We start from the raw sequence: 24037 nt of genomic DNA, 5'->3' as shown, positions 1-24037 counted from the left end.
GATGCACACACACACCACACACTGCCTGATAAACACACTGCCTGCTGCACACCACCTGCTGTACAAACACACACACACACACACAGAGCCTGATACATACACACAGCCTGCCGCACACCACCTGCTGTACACCACACAAAGTACTCGCCGCATGCTGCACATAAACACACACCACACCCCGCCTGATACATACACACACTGCCTGCTGCACACCACCTGCTGTACACACACACACGCCTGCTGCACACAGTCTACTGCACACCTACTGCACACCCTTGCTGCACATAAACACACACACACTACCCGATATAAACACAGGTAGCCTGCCGCACGGCACACCGCACACATATACTGCCTGATAACACACACACACACTGCCTACTGCCCACACACTGCCTGATGCATATGCCTTGCTGTATACATAGCCCATAAGGTACTCACTACCTGCTTACCACCACACCACGCACTGCCTGACGCACACACGTGCACACAAACACTGCGCGCTGCATACACAGCCCATACAGCATGCAGTGCCTCCTGCACACACTGCCCCTTCCCCACTGCCTGATGGTAACGTGTGCGCTGACCGCTGCACACCCCGTTCTGTGCGCACAGCTTGCAAGGCAGCACCCCTGCTGCACACACTGCACCACACACTTCACACAAACACTGCCTTAAACATGGCACACAGGGCACCCACACCACACGAACAGTGCACGTTATCTGCCCTATCAATGACCCCAAGACAAGTAATGCTACCTGTACTCAGAACCCTTGGAGCTAAGCCCCCCAGGAGAAGTCCAAAACAGCTCATCTCTGCTCCACAGCTTCTTTCTTCTCCCCGCCTCCTTGTCCCTCCCAGAACCTACCCAAAGTCATCAGTGCCCTCCCCACACCACTGAATGTCTGGCGGCCTCCTGGGCTTTCCCGGCCAGTCCTTCCAGGCCTGAAATCTGCGGCCCCAGGTGAATCCATGACTTACAGACTGAGCTCCAAGACCTTCACTGCCCCTCAACCTCCTGGAGGGAAAGGCCAGGAATCCAGGCCTGCCTCCCTCCCCTCCCCCAGGGCTCCCCCTCCCTGGTGAGGGAAAATGTCAGATTCCCTGTCTCAGTGGCGGCAGCGGGCGGGTTGGAGGGGGAGTGATTCAGCCGCCGCCTCAAGAGTGCGGAGCGAGAAGAGCTTTTCCTGCCATTACCCGGCGAGGGAGAGGCTGGCGCGCTAATGGCTTCAATTACCACTCAGACAGGAACGCTGGGCGGCGGGCCCCACGCTCATCACAGCCAGGACAGGCTCACCCCGGCCAGCTTGTGCTGGGCACCCCCACCTCGTATGCAGTCCTGGCGGGGGTGTCAAGGGGAGGCCACACTGGGAATAACAATCCTGCTCAGATGCGAGGTGCAAAGGGCACGGCTGTGGGGGATTTGGGGGGGCACTCCCACGGGCTGTGGTGGGAGTGGCCCTGGAGCCACAGCAGTTGGGCCTGGTGTGACATGAGGCAAAGGCAGAGGGCACAGAACAGACTGCAGGCCTGGACTCCTTTTTGGGGGCACACTGATCTTCACCTGAGCCAGTTCACCCCAGACAGCCCTCAGCCATTCTCCAAGGAGACCAGCTCACAGGGAGAGCTGTGTGCAACTCAGGAAGGACTCTTACTTCCCCGACCCCAACTAGCTCCATCCCCTCCCCAGCCCTCCTCGTACCCTGTGGTGGCCTCCCAAGAATGGCCCTGGCTCCTGCCGGCCCCACCCCAGAGCTCCAGTCCAAGTCCAACCATCCTTTCACCCAGTTCCTGCAGGCACCCAGCTTTCTTGATCCTCCTAGGAGGGAGGGGAGGGGTGGGGTGAGGCGGGGCAGGGGGCGGGTGTTCACCCTCTGGGCTGCTTCCCTCTGGCCCTCCTGCGGCACGCCTTTCTGTCAAGCCCAATGCTGGCCAAGGTTATACAGACCAGCAGGATAAGTCAGCATTTTGTCTTCCTGGTGCTATGTTTCAGAAGCAGGAGGGGCTCACTCAGGCCCACAGCTCCACACCCTTCCCCGGAGCATGGACAGGGTCTGGGTACTTGCGCCACACTCTCCCCAGCCTCATCAGACACTTCTCACACCCCAGAAGCGCAAACATATACTGCTGGCCCCTGGTAGAGAAACCAAACGGAGGCACCTCCTGCAGGTCCTCTTTTTTTTTTTTTTTTTTGAGATGGAGTCTCCTGTCGCCCAGGCTGGAGTGCAGTGGCGCAATCTCAGCTCACTGCAACCTCCTCCTCCTGGGTTCAAGCAATTCTCCTGCCTCAGCCTCCCAAGTAGCTGGGACTACAGGCGTGCGCCACCACGCCCAGTTAATTTTGTATTTTTTGGTAGAGATGGGGTTTTGCCATGTTGGCCAGGCTGGTCTCGAACTCCTGACCTCAAGTGATGTGCAGGCCTCTGCCTCCCAAAGTGCTGGGATTACAGGCGTGAGCCACCACACCCAGCCCCTCCTGTCAGTCTGAAGTCCGTCCTCCTCACCCCAGGCCTGAAAGACCACCTCCATCCTCCTCAACCCTTTGAAAGGTAAGGCTGCCCAGGGCAGTGGCAGAGGTAAGAGGGCTCCTGACCCAGGACCTGGGGCTTAGGCGCTTTTGAAGGACTCCTCTTTCAATACTAACAAGGAGGCCCTGTTCCCCAATCTGAGAGCCTGAAAAGAAGCCCTCTGGGGCCTCTGGTCCTTCAGCCACCTCCCAAATGCCAGGGCAGGGCAGATGGCTCCCTGCTAGGACAGCTGCCAATAGGAGGACTGGGCAGCATTGAAATACTTGCCCCCAGGTCACGAGTGGGGAAACAGGTCAGAAGTGGCAGGGAGGAGCCTGAGAACACTCAGCAATCAGTGATGCTGGCCCAGGGCCTGTTCTCTGAGTTCCTATTGCACAGGTATGTCCCCCCGTGGGAGCAGGCAGTGGAGCTGCATCACCCGGATGATGCCACGCAGCACGGAGGCCAACCACCTTCAGCTCACGTGGTGAGGCCTCAAGATGTACAGCTTCCAGCCCCACAGCAACCACCACCACACTCCTGGGAAGCGCTTCATACACAGCATTCAATCTTCCAAACCAGCTTGGGTGGTAGGCATTATATCCATTTACAGATGGAGCAAATGAGGGTCAGAGGCATAGTTACTAACCCAAAGACACACGAGAAGTGAGTGGTCCAGAGTCTTAACCACTGTCCTCTATGGCTCCTCTAAGCTTGTAGAGCCCACGGACTCATACAAGACACAGATGCAAAACAGTAACCGACACTGGACGCAGTGCCTCAGGCCTGTAATCCCAGCACTTTGGGAGGCCAAGGCGGGCGAGGTCAGGAGTTCGAGACCAGCCTGGCCAACATGGTGAAACCCCGTCTCTACTAAAAATACAAACATTAGCTGGGCGTGGTGGCACCTGCCAGTAGTCCCAGCTACTTGGGAGGCTGAGGCAGGACAATCACTTGAACTCGGGAGGTGGAGGTTGCAGTGAGCCGAGATCTCACCACTGCACTCCAGCCTGGCAACAGAGTGAGACTCTGTCTCAAACAAAACTAAAAAACCCCCCAAAACCAAACAACAACAACAACAACAAAAAGAGTAACTGAATGGAGATGTGTGTGTGAACAGATAAAGCCACAGCGTAAAAATGGCCAATGTGAAAACATGTGCAGCTGTTCTTGTAATCAAAGAAATGCAAATTAAATTGAGATGCCATTTTTTGCCTATTAACTTGGCAAAAAATATTTTTTTGAAGATATTTCCCAACAGTGGGGAAGATGTGCAGGAAAGAGGCCCTCTTCTGCCCTGCTTGGCAGGAGTATGAATTGACACAATCTTCTGGAAATATCAAAAGGCTTAAAAATGCATGTGCCCTTTGACTCAGCAATTCCACTTCCATGAACCTAGAATAAGGGAATAATCAGGAAGGTGAACACATCCATCTGCAACGACGTGTATGGCACCTTATTTATAGAAACGAAAAAACTGAGAACATATGTGTCCAACAATAAGGGAATGGCTAAATAAATTAGGGTACTTGCATGTGACAGCTTACCCATAGCCATTAAGGATAATGATACAGGCTGGACGTGGTGGCTCACGCCTGTAATCCCAGCACTTTGGGAGGCCAAGGTGGGCGGATCACGAGGTCAGGAGTTCCAGACCAGCCTGTTCAATATGGTGAAACCCCGTCTTTACTAAAAATACAAAAATTAGTCACGAGTGGTGGTGCGCACCTGTAGTCCCAGCTACTCGGGAGGCTGAGCCAGGAGAATCGCTTGAACCCAGGAGGCAGAGGCTGCAGTGAGCCAAGATGGCACCACGGGACTCCAGGCTGGGTGACAGAGCTAGACTCCGTCTCAAAAAAAAAAAAAAAAAAAAAGAATAATGATACAGAAGAATATTTAGTGGCAAGGAAGATGTTAGCCATATTTTTTTTTGTTTGTTTTTAAAGCAGTCTACAAATCATCGGACAGTATGTGGTCCCATTTCTGTTCACACACACACATATATATGTATGCACAGAAAATGGGCCACGAGTAAGTAACCAAATGTTATTACTAGAGGTAAACTGAGACATTTTAATTTTTTCCTCTGTGCTATTCTATACTTTCCAATTTTTCAAAAAGGAACAGGTATCGACATCACATTCTTAAAAAGAAAGCAACAATCGGCCCGGGTGCGGTGGCTCACACCTGTAATCCCAGCAGTTTGGGAGGCTGAGGCAGGCGGATCACCTGAGGTCAGGAGTTTGAGACCAGCCTGACCAACATGGTAAAACTCCATCTCTACTAATAATACAAAATTAGCCAGGCATGGTGGCGCATGCCTGTAATCCCAGCTACTTGGGAGGCCGGGCAGGAGAATCGCTTGAACCCGGGAGGCAGAGGTTGCAGTGAGCTGAGATCACACCATTGCACTCCAGCCTGGGCAACAAGAGTGAGACTGCATCTCAAAAAAAAAAAAAGAAAGAAAGAAAGAAAAGAAAAAAAAGCAAGCAACAATCGATGCTATATTTTGAAAACATAAACACATTCAGACTGATGAATCAGTTGTGGCTGGGGTCTGATCATGTCACCCCCGCCTTGTTTGTGGCTTCCTATGTCCCTAGGAGAGTGTTCATTTCTCAGCCAGATCCTGTGTAATCTGCCCTCCAAACCTCTCCAGACTCATGCTGAATTGCTTTCTCCTTCTTCCTGTGCTCTCTAGCTCCCCCTCTGCCCTCCAGAAAACCCAAATTGAACTACTCAGAGCTCTCTGAAAGCTCCATCCTCTCTTGCTTCTGGGCCTGGGCACCTGCCTAGCTGCCAACTGCCACCCCCAACTCCCACCTGTCCTCAAGACTTGGCTTAGACACAGCTTCCTCCTCCTCGGTGCTCAGAGGACTTCAAGGTGGTCCAGGGAGTGTTTGTGAATGAATGGAGAAGCCACCAAGTGAGAGAAGACACTAAAATCCACGGACAGAGCCCCAGCCCTCAGCTCACAGGGGCAACAAGGAACACACCTGCCTGACACCTACGGCCAGGCTCCACATGGAAATCCGGTTCACTGCCAAACAGCCACAGCCATAACCACGTAACCCAAGGGATACACAGCTGCAGCTCCACACCTCAAGTCAGACCCCAGACCCCACCCAACCAACGACCCGGCTCAGCAGGAGAATACAAAGGCATCATGCCCCACATGGCTGGCCTCAGCATAAGCCGCACAATCCAGGCCAGATCCAATGACTATCCCTGTCCACCACTGACTTTCACTGACCCCGAGGTGGCCAGTCCTCCTTTCTGCCAAATGCACATGGGCCCAGGACAGGATCAGGGCTGGCTGGCTCTTCCCACGCCTCAGCCCGGCAGCCCACCGTGCCACGTCTCCCTAGCACGTACCTTCGAGCACTGAGAGCTTGGCACTAGTGTTGATCTCACCCAGGCTGTTAGTAGCTGTACACTCATAGATGGCTTCATCTCGCTGCACCCGCAATGGCTGGATCCGAAGCACTGACCCTGCCCCATCATCAAACTCAATGACCTGTCAGAGGACAGACATGGGGTCACAGCCTACTCAGGACACAGGAGCCTGCTCAGGGTCAGTTGTCCTCCCACCTCCAAAAGGTCCATGAGGAGGGACACTGAAAGGAGAGAGTGTGGGCAGACCCTGAGCCCTGCCGACCCCTTCCCACCACAGACGCACCTCGAAGCGCTGGGAGCTGACTTTCTTCCCCTTCTTCATCCATGTGATGCGCGGCTTGGGTTCTCCTGTAGCTTGGCACACGAAGGAGGCTACCCCTCCTGACAGCCCAGTCTGGTCCTCAGGGACTTTAATGAAGACAGGTTTGCCTGGAAGAGATGGAGACACCAAGTCACCACAGCACAGTCACTATAGGAATGGCCAGTGAGGAAGGTGGCAGTCATGGGGGCAGAGAGAAAGACCTACAAAGAAAACAAGGACACCTCACCTTTATGTAGCGCTTAGTATGTGCCAGGCACTGTTCAGAGAGTTTAACATTTTTTAACTCTGTTAAGCATATGAGGTGAGTGCTATAACTGTATCTGTTTCTAGAGGCCCAGAGAGGTTAAGGGATTTGTCCCATATGACACAGCTGGTAAGTGGTAGAGCTAAGATCTGAACCCAGGTGTTCCAAGTCTGGAGTTCACACTACCACTGCACCCTTCTGTTGCCCGCCCCACATCAATTCCAAGCTCCAGGAAAAAGGCGTGCTGGAGAGCTGCTGGGAAGAGCTCCAGCTCTCCCTGAGAGTTGTCCCTCCCCCTGCTCTCCATCTCAGTGATGGCACCACCATCCACCCCGGGGCTCCGGCCAGGAACCGAGACTCCTCCCTCTCTCCCAGCCCCCACATACCAGCAGCAGTCCCAAAGGCCTAGACAGTCCAGTTCCTAAGTCTCTCTGGATATCTTCCCAGGTGAATGCTTTCCTGTAAATCTGCCTCTCCCATCCCTCCCCCCCGACTTAGTTATTGCCTTCTGACAGTCTCCTCAAGGTGTCCACAGGGAGGCAGAGGGAGGAGAAGAAAGGTAGGGGCTCAGACATGGCACTGCCACACCCTCATCACCTCAGTACACATACCAGGGCCAGTCCACAGCCCCTATCCCTAAGAATTCAACCACCTAGGGTCATGAACCCAGAGAAGCCCAACCCATTTGCTACAATCTTGTAGCAATAGCTCGTTAATCTTGACAGCTGATCCATTTCCTATTAATCAGACCAATGAACAGCTCCAAAAAGGGCTAGTGCTGTGAGAAATGACCTTTCAGACCACCTGTTTGGTCCCCAGGAGCCCAGGCCCAGCCTGGTCCCTGGCACAGAAACGTGTGCGATGATGACAATCCTTTGCCAAGCACCCACTCTGCACCAGGTTCTTTATCTTTAGTCCTTCATTGCTATTATCCTCAGTTTACAGGCTCAGAGGGGTCAAGTCACTTGTCCAAGATCACATGCCAGTGAGGGGCACATCTGGGACCTGAATTCAGGCATGTTTGACTGTCAAACACCTGGTACAAAACAGTTCACACAAGATTGTCAGGGACCTTGACAAGAACAGAGTCAGTGGAGTGGTGGGTGGGGGCCAAAGCCAGACCAAAGAAGGCCAAAGAATGACTGGGAGGCGATGAGGGAGAGAGGGAAGTACAGGTGACTATACAGCCAGCAGCTGGAAAGGATGAGGCGGGAAGGGAGGTTTGTGAATTTTTTTTTTCTTTTTTTCTTGAAGACAGATATGAAAGGCAATGTTTAAATACTGATGGGAGCCAGCAGAGAGGGAAAAGGTGTTGATCCAGCAGAGAAGGGACGGCAGATGGGGCAGAGTCTCCAAGGAGGAGAGGGTCTATGGGAGCGGGGTAGGGAGTGGCAGCTGCAGGTACCAACAGAGAAGGAACTTTTGAGAACTCCAGGGGCCAGGGGCTCTGGGGGTTTTATGTAATTATTATGCAAGTCACTCACCATCTCTGAGCCTCTTTTTTCCCATCTCCAAAACAGTGACACAGGATTCTGTCATAGATGGAATGAGATGGCTGTAAACTGCTTTACGTGGTGGGCCTTCCATGAGGGAAGCTGTCACTCGTACCAGCATTATCAGTCTTACCGCAATCCCATAAGGTAGGTAGTATTATTATCCCCATTTAAGAGGTGGGGAAATAGAGGCTCGGAGGGTGAAATGACTGGCAAGTCAGAGGGATGCAGGCATGGAGCCAGGCTTTGATCCAGCCTTCTCACTCCTAAGCTCACCTACGGCCTTCCCTGGAGGGAGACCTTGGGACTGACTATGTTCTTAGAGTGCCTAGGGCAGGCTCGGGCAGCCAGCTCAGGGAGGCTGTAGGGACCAGAAAGACAAGAAGACACCACAGAAGGTCCAGAACCCCCCAGCGTGCCTTGCCCTTCCCCTGAATGCCCTTTGAAGGAGGCTCCAGGCTCTCCCGACTGCAGCTGTCTGCAAAGTTGGCCTCTGTTGCGCCTTCCAGACAGACCCTCTCAGACACGACTCTCCTGCTCAGGCTCCACTGGGGGTGTCTCCTGTCCCCCACCCCCATACCGTGCACTCTTCCCCCACACTTGAAGCCCTCCACAAAGCAGCTCAGGGTTCTCCACCTGCGCTGCCACACCCTAGTCCAGATACCACCTTCCCTTGACTGGCACTCCACTGGCCTAACACGCGGAAGCCCCTGCCTCCAGGCCTGCCCCACGCCTCCCGTCTGTTCTCTACTCAGTGTCCAGAGTGAGCTGACAGCCTCCCCCGACACCCCGCCCTATCAAAACCCTCCAAAGACCTGCCGAATCACTCTCCAAACACCTGTTATGGCAGACAAAGCCGCGGGGTCTGACCCAGCTGCTCTCCCCAGAGCCCCAGCTTTGGCTCCTCTAAAGAGCAACGTCATGTTCCCTGCAGCCACAGGGCCTTTGCATAAGCTGCTGCTTCTGCCAACCTCCGCCATACACTCTAACTTCCATTCATCCTTCTGCTCTCCATTTAAGTATCACTGCCTTCTCCAGTCCCCCTGCCCCCAACCTATGAGCTCAGTTCCTAGTTTGAAACTCCCGGGTAACTCCCTTGCCTCCCACAGCACTGCTCCTAGCTTATTACCTACCTGCCGAGCTTATAACTTTCACTCACAGTTTATTATGCACACGTGTGAGATTATTACTTTTCCACATTTTTGGTGTTTGATTAATGGCTGCTTCCCCTCCTAGAACATAACCCTGGGCAGGGCAGATAGCATGCCTGTCTGGATTCCTGTCCCAGTGTCTGACCCAGTTCCTGGCACCCAGGGGTGGAGAATGAAAGAAGGACCGAACTGAGGAACCAGGAGGATGAGGACCGCGGCCCCTGCTGCACCAGGGAAGAGAAACCCAGGGAGAAAGTGCCCCTCCAGCTCCTGCCGGGACCTGCAGCGGCAGAAACTGGGGGCTGGAACCGGCTGAACCGGAATGGCCGGGCGAGTGCGCCTGGGGGCGGGGTGGGGCGGGGCCTCCGCTCCAAACAAAGAAGCGGAGAGGAGACGCCGGGGAGGAGAGCCAGGTGTGGGTCACCGGCGGCCTGGAAGGAGGAGGGCCCAAGAGCCGTGGGAGGCTGGGCTGTGCCCAAGGCCTGGGGCTATCGAGGAGGCAGAACAACTCCCCTCCCTTGGAGGCTGGAGAGGAGCCTGCACCCTGCCCGCCCACCCAACAGACTAGGCCAAGCTGGCCCAAGGCAGCCCGGGGGACCAGACAGGCAGGCCCCGCCCCTCAACCAGGCCTCGCCCTCCGCTTCCCTCCAATCCACCTCCACCCGCAGGACACAGCACAGGAGACAAGGCGTTGCCCCTTATGTTCAGCAGAGGATCTTTGGGGAGCACAGATCTAACCGCACCTCTCCTCAGCTACCAACGGGCCTGATGTTCCTCTCTCCGTTCCCCTCTGAAATGTGCTCCTCCTAAGCTCTCAGGCTCACTTTTCTTTAGTCTTTTTTTTTTTTGAGAGGGGGGTCTCACTTTGTCACCCAGGTTGGAGTACAAGTGGCACAATCTCAGCTCACTGTAACCTCCGCCTCCACCTCCTAGGCTCAAGCAATCCTCCCACCTCAGCCTCCCGAGTAGCTGGGACCACAGGTGCACACCACCATGCCTGGCTAATTTTTTGTATTTTTGGTAAAGACAGGGTTTCACCACATTGCCAGGCTGGTCTCAAACTCCTGAGCTCTGGCGATCCACCTGCCTTGGCCTCCCAAAGTGTTGGGATTACGGGTATGAGCCACCACACCCGGCTTCTTTACTCTTTCAACAAGTATTTTTTGAGCACCTACTATAGTACAGGCCTAGCACTGTGCAGAGCACACAGCTTGGACCCACCACCTAGGCCACCCTGACAGGCCAGGCCCTCAGACTCCTCCCTGCCTTTGAGTGTGCCCAGCCCAGCCCCTCTCTCATGTCCCACCCAGCCAAGCTGCTGTAGGAGCCTGCTCTGTGTCCCATGGCCTGAGGTGCCCAGAGCTTCCCATCCCAGCACTGACCAGATCCCACAGTGTCAGGTCCCCAGGCAGGCAGCAAACCAAGCTACTTGAACTACTCTGCCCCGTGCCTGACCCACAGCTGGTGTTCAGTGAGGGTCGGAACACAACTTCTGAGACTGGGTCAACAGGGTGCCACCAGAGCACACCAGGAGGGCCTTTCTGCCAGTTACCCACTGCCACCTGGCCTGACACCCCACGAGAGCGTGCCCCCTCCCTGACACACACAGTGGTCGGGGGCCGCACAGCCCTTTCAGCACAGCTCCCGGGGTATGGACGGCAACATTCTCGAGCCACCAAGCCCATGCAGGGTGGGAGGAAGTGGCCTAAGAAAGGAGTAAGTGGAACTGGCTGGAGGAAGGGGGCTGCAACCACCTCCCAGGGAGGCTGTAGGGGTCCAGCCCCAGGGAGAGTCAAACTGGGCCACCATCAAGGCTCTTCTATGGAGAGACTGACTGCTATTTTGTGCCTTTCCCATGGAATACACATACACATGTACACACGGAGGCAGGGCCATGAGGGCCGGCGAAGGCAGGGCAGGGAGCTTCTGGAGAGACAGATATCCCTGGGTCTGAGCAGCTTAAGCTGGGACTCAGTGAGCTCCTGTGACTGTTCCTGGTACCCCCCTGGAGCCCACTCAGAGACAAGCCTGGTTCCCAGGGACAGAGCAAGAGCCCCAGGTCATGGCCTCAGATAAGGGGAATACATACTAGGTTCCAGGCACCTCATCCATGTGACCTCAGTTAACCTTTCCAGGTAGGAGTGATTATCCCCATTGTGCAATAGGAAAACAGGCCCAGAGAGAGAAAGCAACGGAATCTGCGGGAAGTCCCACAGGGAGCAGAGTCTAGACAGGCCACCCATAGAACGAGGGGGAGAGCATGACGACAGACAACAGACCCTGTGTGCTCCACAGGCTCTGGGGAGGAGGGAAATGACACAACAGACACACTCCCAGCTCCTCAGCCTCTGCCCACCTCTGTCAACCCACCCGCCACCCACCCCTCCAGCCAGCACGCATCCTGCTCTGAGCTCCTAGGATTCTGGGTAAATGGGCCATAACCAGGGTCTCACTCCCACCTGGTCTTCGGACCCCACCTCTGTCCCATGCTGTCGGGTTCTCACTGTGGCTCTCCCATGAATTCCACAGAGAAGCCCAGCCACATTCGTGCTTCTTCCCCGCAACCCCACCTCATTATGCAATACCCCCCCATTAGCAAATGTCCACTCACCCTTCAGGGCTCCCCTCTTCCAGGAAGCCTCCCAACTCCTCTCCCAAGATGCTTCTGCCATGGCCTGTGTCAGTGCCACCTACCCAGCACACCCTGTGGTCACTGCTCACAAGCCTGTGCCTCCACACTGCAGGTCTTGCCTGAAGACAGGCACGCGACACGCACTTGAGATCAGCAAAAACCTCTGCCCTGGCTCAGGACACCTCTGGCCCCACAACCTCCCCTCCTGAGAAGCCACAAAGCCTGGCTGGGGAAGCTGCGCTGCAGCAGATCCTACCCCAATGTGTGCCCAAATCTCCACTGGAGCTGCGCGTGCGGCACTGACACTGGGGCCTCTGGGCTAACTCTTGGCAGCTGCTTCTCCACCCGCTTCCCTCCACTCCCCTCAGAGGCCAGGGCCCCCATTCATTTGTCTCGTTAAGAGGCCTATTGAAACACATTTGTCCACTCCGCGCTTCACTGCCCCAGCTGTCAATTCTCTGGGGTGCCTACCCTATCTTCTGCAGTGGCCCTGTCTGTGTATGGCCACTTGCCCCTGGCTAGTAGTTGCCCAAGCTCAGCCTGAGCCCTGCCTCAGTGCAGGGAGAGATCCAAAACTGTGTGCAGTGTAAGACAGGCCTGGAAGACAGACCCTGGCTCCTGCGGCTCGGTCACTCTGACCCCCAGCCCAGGCTCCTGCCCCATGGCTCTCTGCCTGGGAGAAGGCCTGAGTCCCCTGAACCCCCTACCTGAAGAAGGCAGGATTTCAGCTTCTTCAGCTGCTTTCTACCGTCAAGACCTGGTGTTTGGGCTTTGGTTCCTAAGGAACCAGCATGGAGGTTCTCTGCTTTAAAAACTGTTCCCCCTTGCCCCTACCAATTACTACTGGGAATTGGTGAACCACTGAAAGAAGTCAGCGTGGTGGGTGAGTGGGGTGGGTGGAGGGACAGCGAGGGATGAGGTTGATAGAAGCTTGATAATGCAGGGCCTATAGAAGGGTTACGACCCTGGGGGCCTGGGGGTGGGAGGGAATGAAGGATTCTAAACTGAAGAGTGACAGGATGATGTTTTCACCTTGTGACACGACTCTACCTTTGGAATGCAGAATGGATTAGGAAGGAAAAGACTGGAGGCAGGGAAACCGTCAGGAGGCTGTTGCGTGCAAAAGCCCAAGAGCCGAGGGTGGCTTGGATGAAGGCGGTAGAGAGAGAAGTGGATGCATTCCAAAGATATTCAGAAGGTAGAAGCAACGGAGCTTGGTGATGGATTAGATGTGGGATATCACGGAGGGAGGAGGCTGGAGGAGGCCCAGGTTCTGACTTGGGTGACCGGGTGGGTGGTAATGCCTTTCACGGGAGAGAACACGGGAAGACAGCAGGCTGGGGGATGAGAGTGAGGGGTACAGGTTGGGGCGCGTTGGGTCTGAGGCAGGAGGAGGAGGGCAGCTCTTCTCCCAGGATGTGTTATCTGTTGAAGCCCAACTGGGCCATCCTTCCCCTGCCCTAGAGCTCCTGTCTGAAGGCCCTGAAAGTGCCTGGGGTTGGGTCGGCGGGGAGGGCAAGGACAGTACTTCAATGTCCAAGAGCTACTGACCACACGTGGACAAGCCTTCACCTTCCTGCCAACCATGTGGGTCACACCTGATAAGGCTTTCTACTCCAACCTGCCCCTGCAGGTTCCAGCCAGGCCTGGAGATCCCCTGCCCCACTTCCCCATGTGATTCCCCACCTGTCTTTTTTCCTTGCTCTCACCTGCCCAGCCCTCTCTTTGGTACCTGGTGCTCCCATGACCCTTTGCCCCACCCCTTGGGAATGCCTGCCCCTTCTCCTTTCCCTTCTAGCTCCACCCAGGACCCAGCACTTGAGGACAAAGGGCGGGACCACACCAGTCCCACCCCACTCCAGAATCAGTTCCTGAATAATTAATGAGCCATTAGGAGAAAGAGCCCTGGTGGGGCAAGGGGAGAGATCTGTACCCAGAGATACGGAGGCAGGTGGGGGAGCCCTATGGCCTGGTGACCCGTGGGCTGACCCCAGGGTTGGCCCTGGATCACCCCTGGGCTCTGGACAGGCTGGGAACGGCCCCTTCCCCCAGGGACCTTGGCTCCGACCTCGCCCCTCCCCCTCAGCCTGCAGATTGGCTAAATCTGCCCTGTGCCCCGCCTCCCACCAGTAACCAAGGAGTGGTAACCATGGCGATGGGGCGGGCTGAGGCCAGTCTCATAGTGCCAGGCAGGGGGAAGGGCAGCAGGAAAGGGACCAAAGTTCGGAGTTGGATCTGGATGGGGACAATTCCACCTCCCTCCAACACAAACACACACAGAGGGGCGTTGCTCAGCTTCCTGCCGGCCAAACACAATCTTCCCCCCATTTCCAGGTCTGAGGAGCTGGGGTGGGGGGATGCTCCTTTGCCTAGAAGGTCCCCATGAAAGGAGAAGGAGGGGCTCAGATCTGCATACTTGGATCCTGAGGGTCCAGCGTAGGGGAAGAGCTATGGGTGGCTCCCGCTTTTGACCCTCCTTGGGCCTATGGACACACCCGCGTCCTGGGCACACATCCATACGCATGCCCTGCGTGCCACCCCCCATTCCCATGCCGACCCCTGGCTGTAGCTCACACTGTGCCTTCAGCACAGATCTGCAACAGTGCACACAGCACACACACGCGCACATCACACAATGACCACATGAATCCAGGACAGGTCTCACCCCAGCCCCATAAGACAGGGTCACGATTCGACTGCCCCGCTCTGGTGCCTAAAGATGCTCCTAAGTACCCAGGTATTCCTTAGAAGGAGGCTCTCCAAGCAGTGGGGGCTCTCTAGGACAGAAGGTCTAAAGGGTTTCTGGCCACCCTGTCTCTCCTAGTAGCCGGTCTGTCCCCATCCCAGAGTCCTGCTGGGAAGGATGCCACCTTTCAACCTGGGAGATCTGTACCTTGAGGGGTCAGACTTACTGTCACCATGGGCGCCTGCCACCAAACCAAGCATCACCAGTGCAGGCACAAGGGGCACCATCGTCCTCCCTGGGGCTGGCTCAGGGGCCATCCAGGGCTCTAGCTCCACAGCCAGCCACAGCCCAGGACAATCAACCTGTAATGGAGAGAAGGGCAGAGCCAGTTAGCTGGTATTTACTGCTGTCCCTAATGCCCACCCCTGACGCTTTCTGACCCCCAGTCATCCTCACTGACCATCCAGAGCCTAGTTCAACAGAGCCCCCCACTTGGGCTGTGCAATGACCACCTAGACCTTCTGACCCCAGTGACCACCCAAGCTCCTCACTTATTCCCCAGCACCCACAAGGACAGCCCAACAGTCACGGTGGAGGGAGAAAGAGCGCAGGAGGCCTTCGGGCCATTCTCTAAACCTGAGTAGGAGGTACAGGGAGTGAGTGAGACCAGAGGATGTACAGTGTGTTCCAGTCCAAACCTTGAGCTTCTAACTCACCCCCATAAGAGGACAGGGAAACAGGGTCAGAGAGACGCTTACGTGGGACAGAGGACAGAGAGACAAGACAGTGACAAGGAGCAGTGAGGGGCAAAGCCAACTGACTCTGGAGTCTCCCTGGTAGAATTCTGTTGCCCCTCCTCTCCCCAGCAGGGAGGGAGAAGGTGGGAGGCCAGACTCCACGAGCACGCTGAGCACAGGCCCCTGAACACAGGCTTGTTAGCAGAAGACAGGCTCCAGGTATCAGAGGCTTCCAGCCAAAGCCACAACCCCTCAGTGCTCACCAGGACGTGCTCTTGACAAGCTGCTGCTGCCCTGCCTGGCCACCCTCGTCCTACCCATTCCCATGGCACCTTCCTACTTCACAGAGAAACCACAGGGAGGCCTCAGTGGCCAGGAATGGGGTGTTAGACCCTAGAATTCAAACCTCACATCTCTTCTGCCCTTGCCCCAGAAGCCCGGAGCCAAACAAGTGTAGGGATGATGGGGTGTGAACCTCAGGGGCTGATGTTTGAGACAGGAAGCTATGCACAAAAAGACTGAGTAGCGTCTGGGACTGGCTGAATGCCCCTAGGCCTTTACTTCCAAGGCTCCTGGCCTGAAGTGCCTGCAGGCACCTGGGTGAAGCCTCTAGCATGGCCGCACTATACATGGGAGATACGCTGCTATCACTCCCTGGCCCCACTGGTGAGCTCCCCAGGGTCTCTCTCCCATACCCCTCACCTGGGGGGCACCAGGGGATGTATGGAAGGGCCCACAAGCTCTGATCACACCATGCTCTGGGCAGAGGGGTGAGACGTGGTCGATCCCTCATGAATGCTGTGAAGACGCAACAGAGCAGAGTGCATGACGGTGAACACGCCTTGGGGCCCCACAGTGATACGCATGGACTTTGATAGGGGAGTTGTGATCAGACCCAGGTCCCCGCTGACCCACAATAGTAAGAGAATTTGCAAGGTGACAGGGCAGGTGACCAGGAATGGGCAGGGCTCAAAGGTGCTCCAGTCGTTTCTGAAATTTGAACCCTTGTCTCAACTGAGATAATCAAAGTTCATGAGGTCAGAAGGCAGCAGTTGAGCAAAGGTGTTGGACAAAGCAGGTGGGAATGCAAAGTGGGATGGGGCCAAACACAAAGGAAAAGGGGTGAGAGTTGTCCCCTGTCCCAGGATCCCACCAAAAATCTGAGACAGGAGCTGAACAACAAAGTAAGAACGGTGAAGGGTGTCCAGCCTTCATTTACACCAGTTCTTCAAGTAAGAACGTTGATAGGTGTCCAGCCCCATTTACACCAAGCTGGGGATGGATCTGCTCCACGATCCCAGAGCTGAGGTGGCTGAGACCACAATGACGCCTGCAAGGCCACAGTGGGATGGAGGTCACACATCACCAAGGCCCTGCCTGAGCTTGCGCTATGGTGCCACATGCAGCCAACGATGGAGCACCTTCCCAGCGGCCATCAGGTGGTGGACTATGAGTGGCTCTTCCTCCCTGGGCCTGTGGACACATCTGGTATCCTATGCCAGGCCAGGTCATCATGGGGGTATGGTCCCCTGATGGACCATCCTGGAGCCCCTGAATGAGACACATGAGTTTATAACTCAACAGCTGTGTTGCACCAAAGGACAGGGCACAGTGGCCTCGTACCGGCATCATCGGGTATAACAATATAATAGTCACAGAGGTTAACTTCCAGGAACAAGCATTCCAAGCATGCAACCCCTGCCAGGCAGGCTTCATAGGGACATAGGCCCCCAGCATGAGCATATCTCCCTGCTATGAAAATAAAATGCACAGCACCGTCATCATGGGATATAGCTCCCCAGTACAATGAGCAGAGGCTTAATCCCCTGTAGCCGCCTTGGTGCAGTAATCATAGCAGTATAACGCCCAGGTGCAGACATCATGGAGGTGTAATGGTGTGGTCTAGACATCACGTGGGCGGACACAGAGGGTACAGACATCATGGAGTGCAGCTGCCTGATAAGGACATTACAGGGGTGCAACTCCCCATACATTAGCAGAGGTGTAACGTGCTGTTACAGACTTCATGGTGGGGGCAGAGCTCCCAGGAGAGCCATCATGGGGGTAAAACTCCCAGAATAGACACCCATGTGGTACAAGCCTGGATGAGAGTCTGGCCATGGGTGTTGGAGAACTTGGGCCTCAGGTAACCCTACCCCCAACGTGGGGCCTCCAGAAACCCCCTGTGTATCTGGGTTGGGGTGCTCAGGACACTTTGTTCAGATCCAGAAAGTAGAACAGAGAGCTTCTTCCAGTGGTCCATGATGGACACAAGGACACAGATGCCCAGGGAGATGGGGAAACACAAGGGACACACACAAACACATTCTCAGGCAACTACTCTGGCAGCCACACAGCTGTACGAGCCAGGGCCTCTCCCTCACCAGCTCCTGGCGAGAGCAAGCTGCCTCCCGCCCTGAGACTCCGGGCACAGAGCCTGCCCTGGTGTCAGGCGGTTCAGGCCACTCCCAGCTCCAGGGCCTCCCTCATCAGAGCAGAGCAGCCCTGGATCCCCAGGCCTGGCCTCAAGAGTAGACCTTGGCCCCCAGAGTCCCAGGGTCCCAGGGTCACCTGTGGGGAGAAGGTGGGAGAGGAACAAGGGGCAGGGCTGCTGCTAGCCTGACTGCGGTTGCGAGGTTGAGCATCTTGTGAATCCATGCAACGGTGTTCACAGCAGAACACCCACTTCACCAGCATGGCTGGGTGAGCCTGGGCTTTCAACAACCGAGATAAAAACAAGGCCGGAGCACTGGGGCACTCAAGCTCGTCTCTGAATTGCACTGTGGACCATCCGTTCTGCCAAGCTGACATACTTGGGCAGGAACACAATTACATACGGTATGATATTATAGAATATAATTGGACACAATTTTTCCACATTCAGAATGGTTTTAATATATCCTTTTCCTTTGCTACGTCAGTGTAAAGCTGCCAACTGCCCTTTCTTGGGAAGAACTGTCCTTTATTCTCAAATATTGTCCTTGGTGTTAAAATGTTCTTTCCTGTATGAAATGATGGGGACAGCAGATAGCAGTTGTTTTTTTATAATGCCTTTACTTGGCAAAATAAAAAATTGCCAACCCCATGTCTGGCTCTTGAGTACTTTTGGAAATTGTATTGGTTCGTGAAACCAAAGAGCCTGGGAATCACTGCTTTGAGGGAAAAGGAAGAAGCAGGCACTAGACCAAGCCACAGCATTCGCATATGAACGTCACAGAAGATTCACGTTGCAAAACACAGAAGCCATGTCACCTCCATGCAGCCCACCCTAACCACCCTGCCAGCCTCTGTGGGGGCCCAAGGGACCATGTGATGGGGGCTTCCCTGGCTGGAGAACAGCTGGGATCATTCCTGAGTCCTCATCATAAATACGCAAACACAGATTGATTTGTTTTCCTTGGGCATGCATTATTATTCACAAATATTAATTAGTCTCCAAATACCACCTGTTTCTGTAGCCTCCCCCATCTCACCTCCCCAGGCCAGGACCCTGGGGCCCAGAAATGGACATGAGCAGAAGGAGGGGTATCCAGGGCCCTACAGAGCAGACGGCCAAGAGGAAAGGCCAGCACTTGGGCAACAGGAAGGGAAGAGCCTGTCGGCAGGGAGAGCTCTGAGCCGTTCATCTTCTAACCAGCGGGCAGCTAACCGAGCCCTTTTGTCATGTCCTGGACAGTTCACCGCGTGGCACTGCAGCAGCGGCCGCGGAGGCGGAAACAGGCCTTGTTATACTTGGGAAGGGAAAACCAACATGTTTCCAGCTCTCACCAAACCAACCACTGGATTATGACGGGAATAAATTATAGTCTCAGCCAGGACCCCTGACCCAGGGAAGGAGGGGCCTGTGGGGAAGAGGGTGAGGCCGCCTTCCCTCCTCCAGCCAGTTGGCCAGAATCCGTGAGCAGAGCCAGGAACAGCCCTCCCTCCCACGGCTGGTATCGGGGCTCCCACCAGCTGGACTGAGTCCCACCCTGTTGCAGCTCTCAGTTTCTCCATCTCACTGAGGAGTGGAGGGGGAGATTAGGAGGAGTGTCGCAGAGACTTGGAGGCGGCAAAGGGTCAGCAGGAGACTAACTCTGGAGGCAAATGACCAAAGGGGACCAGCAGAGGTATCTTCCTGCGGCTGTAACCCCTAAGCCTCCAGGCCCCTTCCTCTGGGGCTGGGGTCCCCCTTGGATTACTGTTTCCCAACTTTGTGCCTCCAAGCCTCTGTACCTGCCGTTCTGTCTATTGGAAAAAAATGTCCTTCTCCTGCCCCAGCACTCACTCACCCCTCAGAACTCTGCTCAAGTGGCCCATCACTATCCATCTTCCCCACTGACCCTCCCCAATTTTCCAGGTTTGTACAGTATAGTGAAAGCAGCAAGAGGCTGTAGACCAGAGGTTCTCAATTCAGGGTAATTTTGCCCCCATGGGACATTACGCAACGACTGGAGACATTTTTGATTGTCGAGACTGGGGAAAGCGGGGAGATGCTACTGGCATCTAGGGGGAAGAAACCAGGGATGCTGCTAGACACCCTACAATAACAAGCCCTGCCCCCACAATAAGGGTTATCTGATCCAAAATGTCAATGGTGCTGAGGCTGAGAAACCCCAACACAGACAACAAGATCCTTTGCCAATTGAGCCTAGAGCCTGACCTGGCCCCTGCCCCAGAACCCAATCCCCTGTGGGCACCCTGGGCCTTGTACCCAAGGAAGCTCCAACCTGGCTTAACTCCTGTATTTGCTGGCGCCTGGCCTCAGGATCTCAGAGTATCTTCCCCTGTACCCCCACATCAGCCCTACCCAGCCTCCAGAAGTCAGGTCCTATAGCACACCCCATCTGCACCCCACCAGACATGCCATCAGCTAGTGGCCTCCCGAGAGGACAGAGGGCTCCACCTTCAGGTACCTATTCTGGCAAGACTGGACTTCGAGTTAGGTCAGACCATCATCTGAGGATGGAGAGGCAAAGGGACACATAGTGTCCCTACACCCACCCTCCCCATCTGACCTTTCCAGCCTGTGACACAGCCCCTCTTGCTGCACCCTCTACATAACCCCAGTGCCCATCTCACCAAACGTAGGGTCTGGACCCCAGGAGACACCCAGGACATACACATTTCCTTCCCCTACCCAGGCCAGACCCATCTCTTCCACAGCCTTGTTAGTTCAGCCACCCGTCCAGATGTTCAGTGGGCAGGGTGATGAACAAGAGAGTCACAGGCTCTGCCTTCGAGGAGCTTACAGAGGGTGAACAGACCCACCGAGCTCTTGGCTCAGGATGGCCCAACCAGAACTCATCTGCCCCAATTCCACTCCTCCTCCAGGGTGTCCAGTCTTGGGGACAGCACCACCATGTTGTCAGTCACCAAGCCCGCAAACCCTCCTTAAATGCTCCCTTGTCCTCATCCCACACATCTAACCCATCAATAAGTTTGAATCTGACCTGCCTCCATCCTCACTGCCACTGTGTTAGTAAGACCTCATCACTTCCTGCCTCTTTGGTGGGCTTCCTGCCTTCAATCACTCCCAACCCATCCCGCACACAGACCAGTGCCACCTTTCAGCACATAAAAATGCAAATCTGCACTTTTGTTTGCCACTTTATTTCACAGCAGGCATTCAGACAGTGTTCCGTGAAAGAATGAACGGATGGGCAATGGACAGATCAACACATGGATATTGCTTCTCTGCTTAAGAACCTTCAATGCTGCTGTATTGCCCTCAGGAAAAAGTCTAAAGTCTTTAGCCTGACATCCAAGGCCCATGATGCTGACTCTAAACCAACTTACCAACCTCATTCCCTGCAACTCCAGCCCACCCATTCTGTGCTTCTAACAGACAGAGAGGAGAACAAGGGGACATCAAAGAGATGCAGAGGACATGCCCAGATCCTGCAGGCACCAAGCTCTTTCTACGACAACCTACAGTCGATGGGAACAGTCTTTTCTACAGAAACGTGGCGAATGGAGAAGCAGAAGAAAGATCCTGGTGTAAGTCCCAGGACATCACCCGGAAGCCTATTTCACACCTACAGTAGCTGACGAGCTGTATGTCATTCCCCATCCACCTCTATCATCCACTCCAGCCAGAAACTCAGGCACCATCCTTGACACCTCCCCTCCTTCATGCCCCACATTCAATCCTTCACCACGTCCTGTCTACTCTACCTCCCTAAATAGCACTCACATCCCTTCTCTCCACTTCTGTCACTGCCTCCCTGGTCCAGGCCTCCACAATCTCTCACCAGTGCACACTGGATCATGTCATGCCCCCTGCTGACACCCCCTCTATAGCTCTCCACTGACCCTGCATCAAATCCAAGCTGCTCAGCCTGGTCCATAGGACCCCTGTGCACCCCTGCTCCTGGCCACTCTGTGGGGCACACTCACCGAGTCTTTGCTTCTTCACCCCGGTCACTCTTGCTGGATACTCAGCACCAAGGGCCGGGCACCAGGGCCTCCACTCCTTCCTGGACAGAAAGGAAAGCATGAGAAAACATCAAGAATTTCATCACAACAGCATATGTATTGACACAGAAAGACATTAAAAATTTGCTGTTTATGCAGAAAAAAAAGCAGGTTATGGAAATGTTCATGTAGAACCATCCCCATCTGGTAAAAATGCCCATCTTTTCCCTTCACTCCCTCGCTCATTCATTTTGATACTCCCTAAGCACCTACTATGTGCTGGGCGTCCTTCCAGGCACCAGCCATATAGCTGTGAGCCACACAGACCAAGTCCCTGACCTCAGCAGTAGACTCTGTGGCCCAGCTCCTCAGCATGACCCCAGAGCCAAGCAGAGTCGGCCCCTCCCACCTCTGCAGCCCTACCTGCCCATGCTCTCCTCCTGCCAGAACGGGAACTTCCTCTTCTGATCCTCAAATGTGCCAAATTTCTTCCTGTCTCCCAGCCTTGCCAGTGCTGAATGCCACTGCCTGGCACAGGCTACCCATGCTCTTCTGGCCAACTTACCCTCGGATCTCAAGTCCAGTGGCACTTTCTCAGGGAAGCCTTCCACAATGTCCCAGACTACCTGCCTGGACCTTGGCTTGGAGCCGTGACCACAAACATGACTATTTATATATTTTTACAATTACTGAGTCACTACCATAAGCTTGATAGGAGCATGGACTGTGGCTGCCCAGCTCATTTCCGTATCCCCAGCGCCTGGCTGACAGCTGGCACATAGTAGGTGCTCAGTCAGCATACACTGAATGAGTGGATGAACGCATGAATGAGTTCAAAGAAAACAGCCCAGCCTGGAAGAACACACCCCAACATACATGCCAGTCTTCAAAGAAGCTTCAGAAGCAATATTTATTTTTGACTTTCTCTACTCTATAATTTTTAAAATGAAGGCGTGCCCCTGGATGCCTCCTCCGCTGGCACACATGCAGCGACAGAGCCCAGCCCCTTCCTTCTAGAGCCATTATTGAGTCCCCACCAGCGTGGGTACCATCCTGGGTGGGGGTGGGGGTCAGACACACCCATACCACCTCATCACCACTTCACGGAAGCTCAGCTGTTTGGCCTACTCGACGCAAGCTGCACCTTGCAGCAGGCTTCTCACCTCAAGCCCCCACATGCACAGTGATCCCCACCCCACACCACTCTGCCACCTTGGCTCCTCCTATAACGGACACAAAGAAACCACAGTGGGAGGGTGGTGCGTGGGAATGTCCTCACCGGCCCAAGACTGACCCTCATCATGAAATCAAGGACACACCTCTGCACCTGGGAATTACCCTCAAGTTGCACTAACCACCTCTGCCAATATGGGGGTACTCTCACCGACTGAAGGCCATCCCAACTGACCCAAGATGGCCCTCGCCAGCTTGGCGACCCAGCCTCCACTGCCCCACCTACCTGCACCAGAACCCGCAGCCCTCTCTGCATGCTTCCCTCCCCGCTCCCCAAGCTGAGTTTCCAGCAGCTGCTGCTCCCAGCATACAGGCTGCCCAGCAGGTCTGGCCAGACAAACCAGCTTCCAGGCCCCAAACTTAAAGGCCCATTTGTCTAGAGATGCCCGCAGGGCCTCACAGTATTCAAGTGAGGTTTTTGGCTGCACCATTGTGCAGAGACCCTGGGCAGAGGGGCAGAGTCCAAGGCAGGGAACTGGGTAATGGGAAAGGCCCCCCAAGCTGGCCAGGCGCTGCTGCCACACCCAGCCACAGCAGGGTCTCGTGCTTGGAGACTGAGACAGGCCCTACATGGAGCAGAAGCCACACCTGGAAAGAGGTGTGTACCCAAAGTGGCCAGGGGCCATTTTAGAAGACTAAACATTTGCAAAGACCCTGAGGCACACAGAACAGCATGAGGGCAGGATCCTAGAAAAGCCAAACAGTAACTTTGAACCACGTCAGTCTGGGATCAAACTGACCTCAAAACAACCTATCAGGCAACCAAATAAAGACTCAGATTCACCAACTGCAGCTCCCAGAACCCACTCTACACTCACACTGGGACAGAGCCCAGAACAACCAGGACAACCAGATACACCCCCAGAACAGAGCCAGAGCTGACATCTGGAAGGTTGACTAGAAAGCTACTCAGAAAGGGCCTGAATGGTTCAGGACCCAAGTTAGAAATCACACTGCTGGCCAGTCACAGTGGCTCACCCCTGTAATCCCGGCACTTTGGGAGGCCAAGGCAGGTGGATCACTTGAGCCAGGAGTTCAAGAGCAGCCTGGACAACATGACAAAACCCTGTCTCTAAAAAAATACAAAAATTAGCCAGGTGGGACTACACCTGTAGTCTCAGTTACTCAGGAGGCTGAGGTGGGAGGATCACTTGAGCCCAGGAGGTGGAGGCTGCAGTGAGCCACGACTGCACCACTACACTCCAGCCTGGGCAACAGAGTGAGATTCTGTTTCAAACC

At 54.9% G+C, this 24037-nt stretch overlaps 1 protein-coding gene across 35 annotated transcripts in view, besides 4 other annotated features; it reads right to left on the bottom strand.

Annotated features, from left to right (window-relative positions):
* Window positions 1-24037, bottom strand: part of PTPRF (protein tyrosine phosphatase receptor type F) — a 101616-nt gene that overhangs the window by 63842 nt on the left and 13737 nt on the right. For 29 of the 35 annotated variants that reach the window (XM_011541873.3, XM_011541871.4, XM_011541872.4 and 26 more), the window contains 4 exons: window positions 21548-21627; window positions 14659-14794; window positions 6188-6333; window positions 5884-6025 (listed from right to left, as the gene is read on the bottom strand). In XM_011541873.3, the coding sequence (XP_011540175.1) occupies window positions 5884-6025; window positions 6188-6333; window positions 14659-14749 (379 nt within the window). In that variant the 5' untranslated portion in view covers window positions 14750-14794; window positions 21548-21627. Of the gene's footprint in view, window positions 1-5883; window positions 6026-6187; window positions 6334-11725; window positions 12068-14658; window positions 14795-21547; window positions 21628-24037 lie in introns of those variants that run through there. The other 6 variants (XM_047426475.1, XM_047426483.1, XM_047426519.1 and 3 more) reach the window with 4 other exon arrangements.
* Window positions 1472-2049: an enhancer, noted in NCBI's record as "H3K27ac-H3K4me1 hESC enhancer chr1:44023447-44024024 (GRCh37/hg19 assembly coordinates)". NCBI's record gives its function as "activates a minimal SCP1, AML or CMV promoter by ChIP-STARR-seq in naive H9 embryonic stem cells {active_cell/tissue: H9 hESC(naive)}" and the evidence as "EXISTENCE:reporter gene assay evidence [ECO:0000049][PMID:30033119]".
* Window positions 2050-2627: an enhancer, noted in NCBI's record as "H3K27ac-H3K4me1 hESC enhancer chr1:44022869-44023446 (GRCh37/hg19 assembly coordinates)". NCBI's record gives its function as "activates a minimal SCP1, AML or CMV promoter by ChIP-STARR-seq in naive H9 embryonic stem cells {active_cell/tissue: H9 hESC(naive)}" and the evidence as "EXISTENCE:reporter gene assay evidence [ECO:0000049][PMID:30033119]".
* Window positions 9723-10527: an enhancer, noted in NCBI's record as "H3K27ac-H3K4me1 hESC enhancer chr1:44014969-44015773 (GRCh37/hg19 assembly coordinates)". NCBI's record gives its function as "activates a minimal SCP1, AML or CMV promoter by ChIP-STARR-seq in primed H9 embryonic stem cells {active_cell/tissue: H9 hESC(primed)}" and the evidence as "EXISTENCE:reporter gene assay evidence [ECO:0000049][PMID:30033119]".
* Window positions 10528-11334: an enhancer, noted in NCBI's record as "H3K27ac-H3K4me1 hESC enhancer chr1:44014162-44014968 (GRCh37/hg19 assembly coordinates)". NCBI's record gives its function as "activates a minimal SCP1, AML or CMV promoter by ChIP-STARR-seq in primed H9 embryonic stem cells {active_cell/tissue: H9 hESC(primed)}" and the evidence as "EXISTENCE:reporter gene assay evidence [ECO:0000049][PMID:30033119]".

This window comes from Homo sapiens, chromosome 1 (assembly GCF_000001405.40).
Source record: "Homo sapiens chromosome 1, GRCh38.p14 Primary Assembly".
NCBI classification, from domain to species: Eukaryota; Metazoa; Chordata; class Mammalia; order Primates; family Hominidae; genus Homo; species Homo sapiens.
Note: the sequence above shows the minus strand (reverse complement) of the source record. Positions and strands in the feature narration are given on the sequence as shown.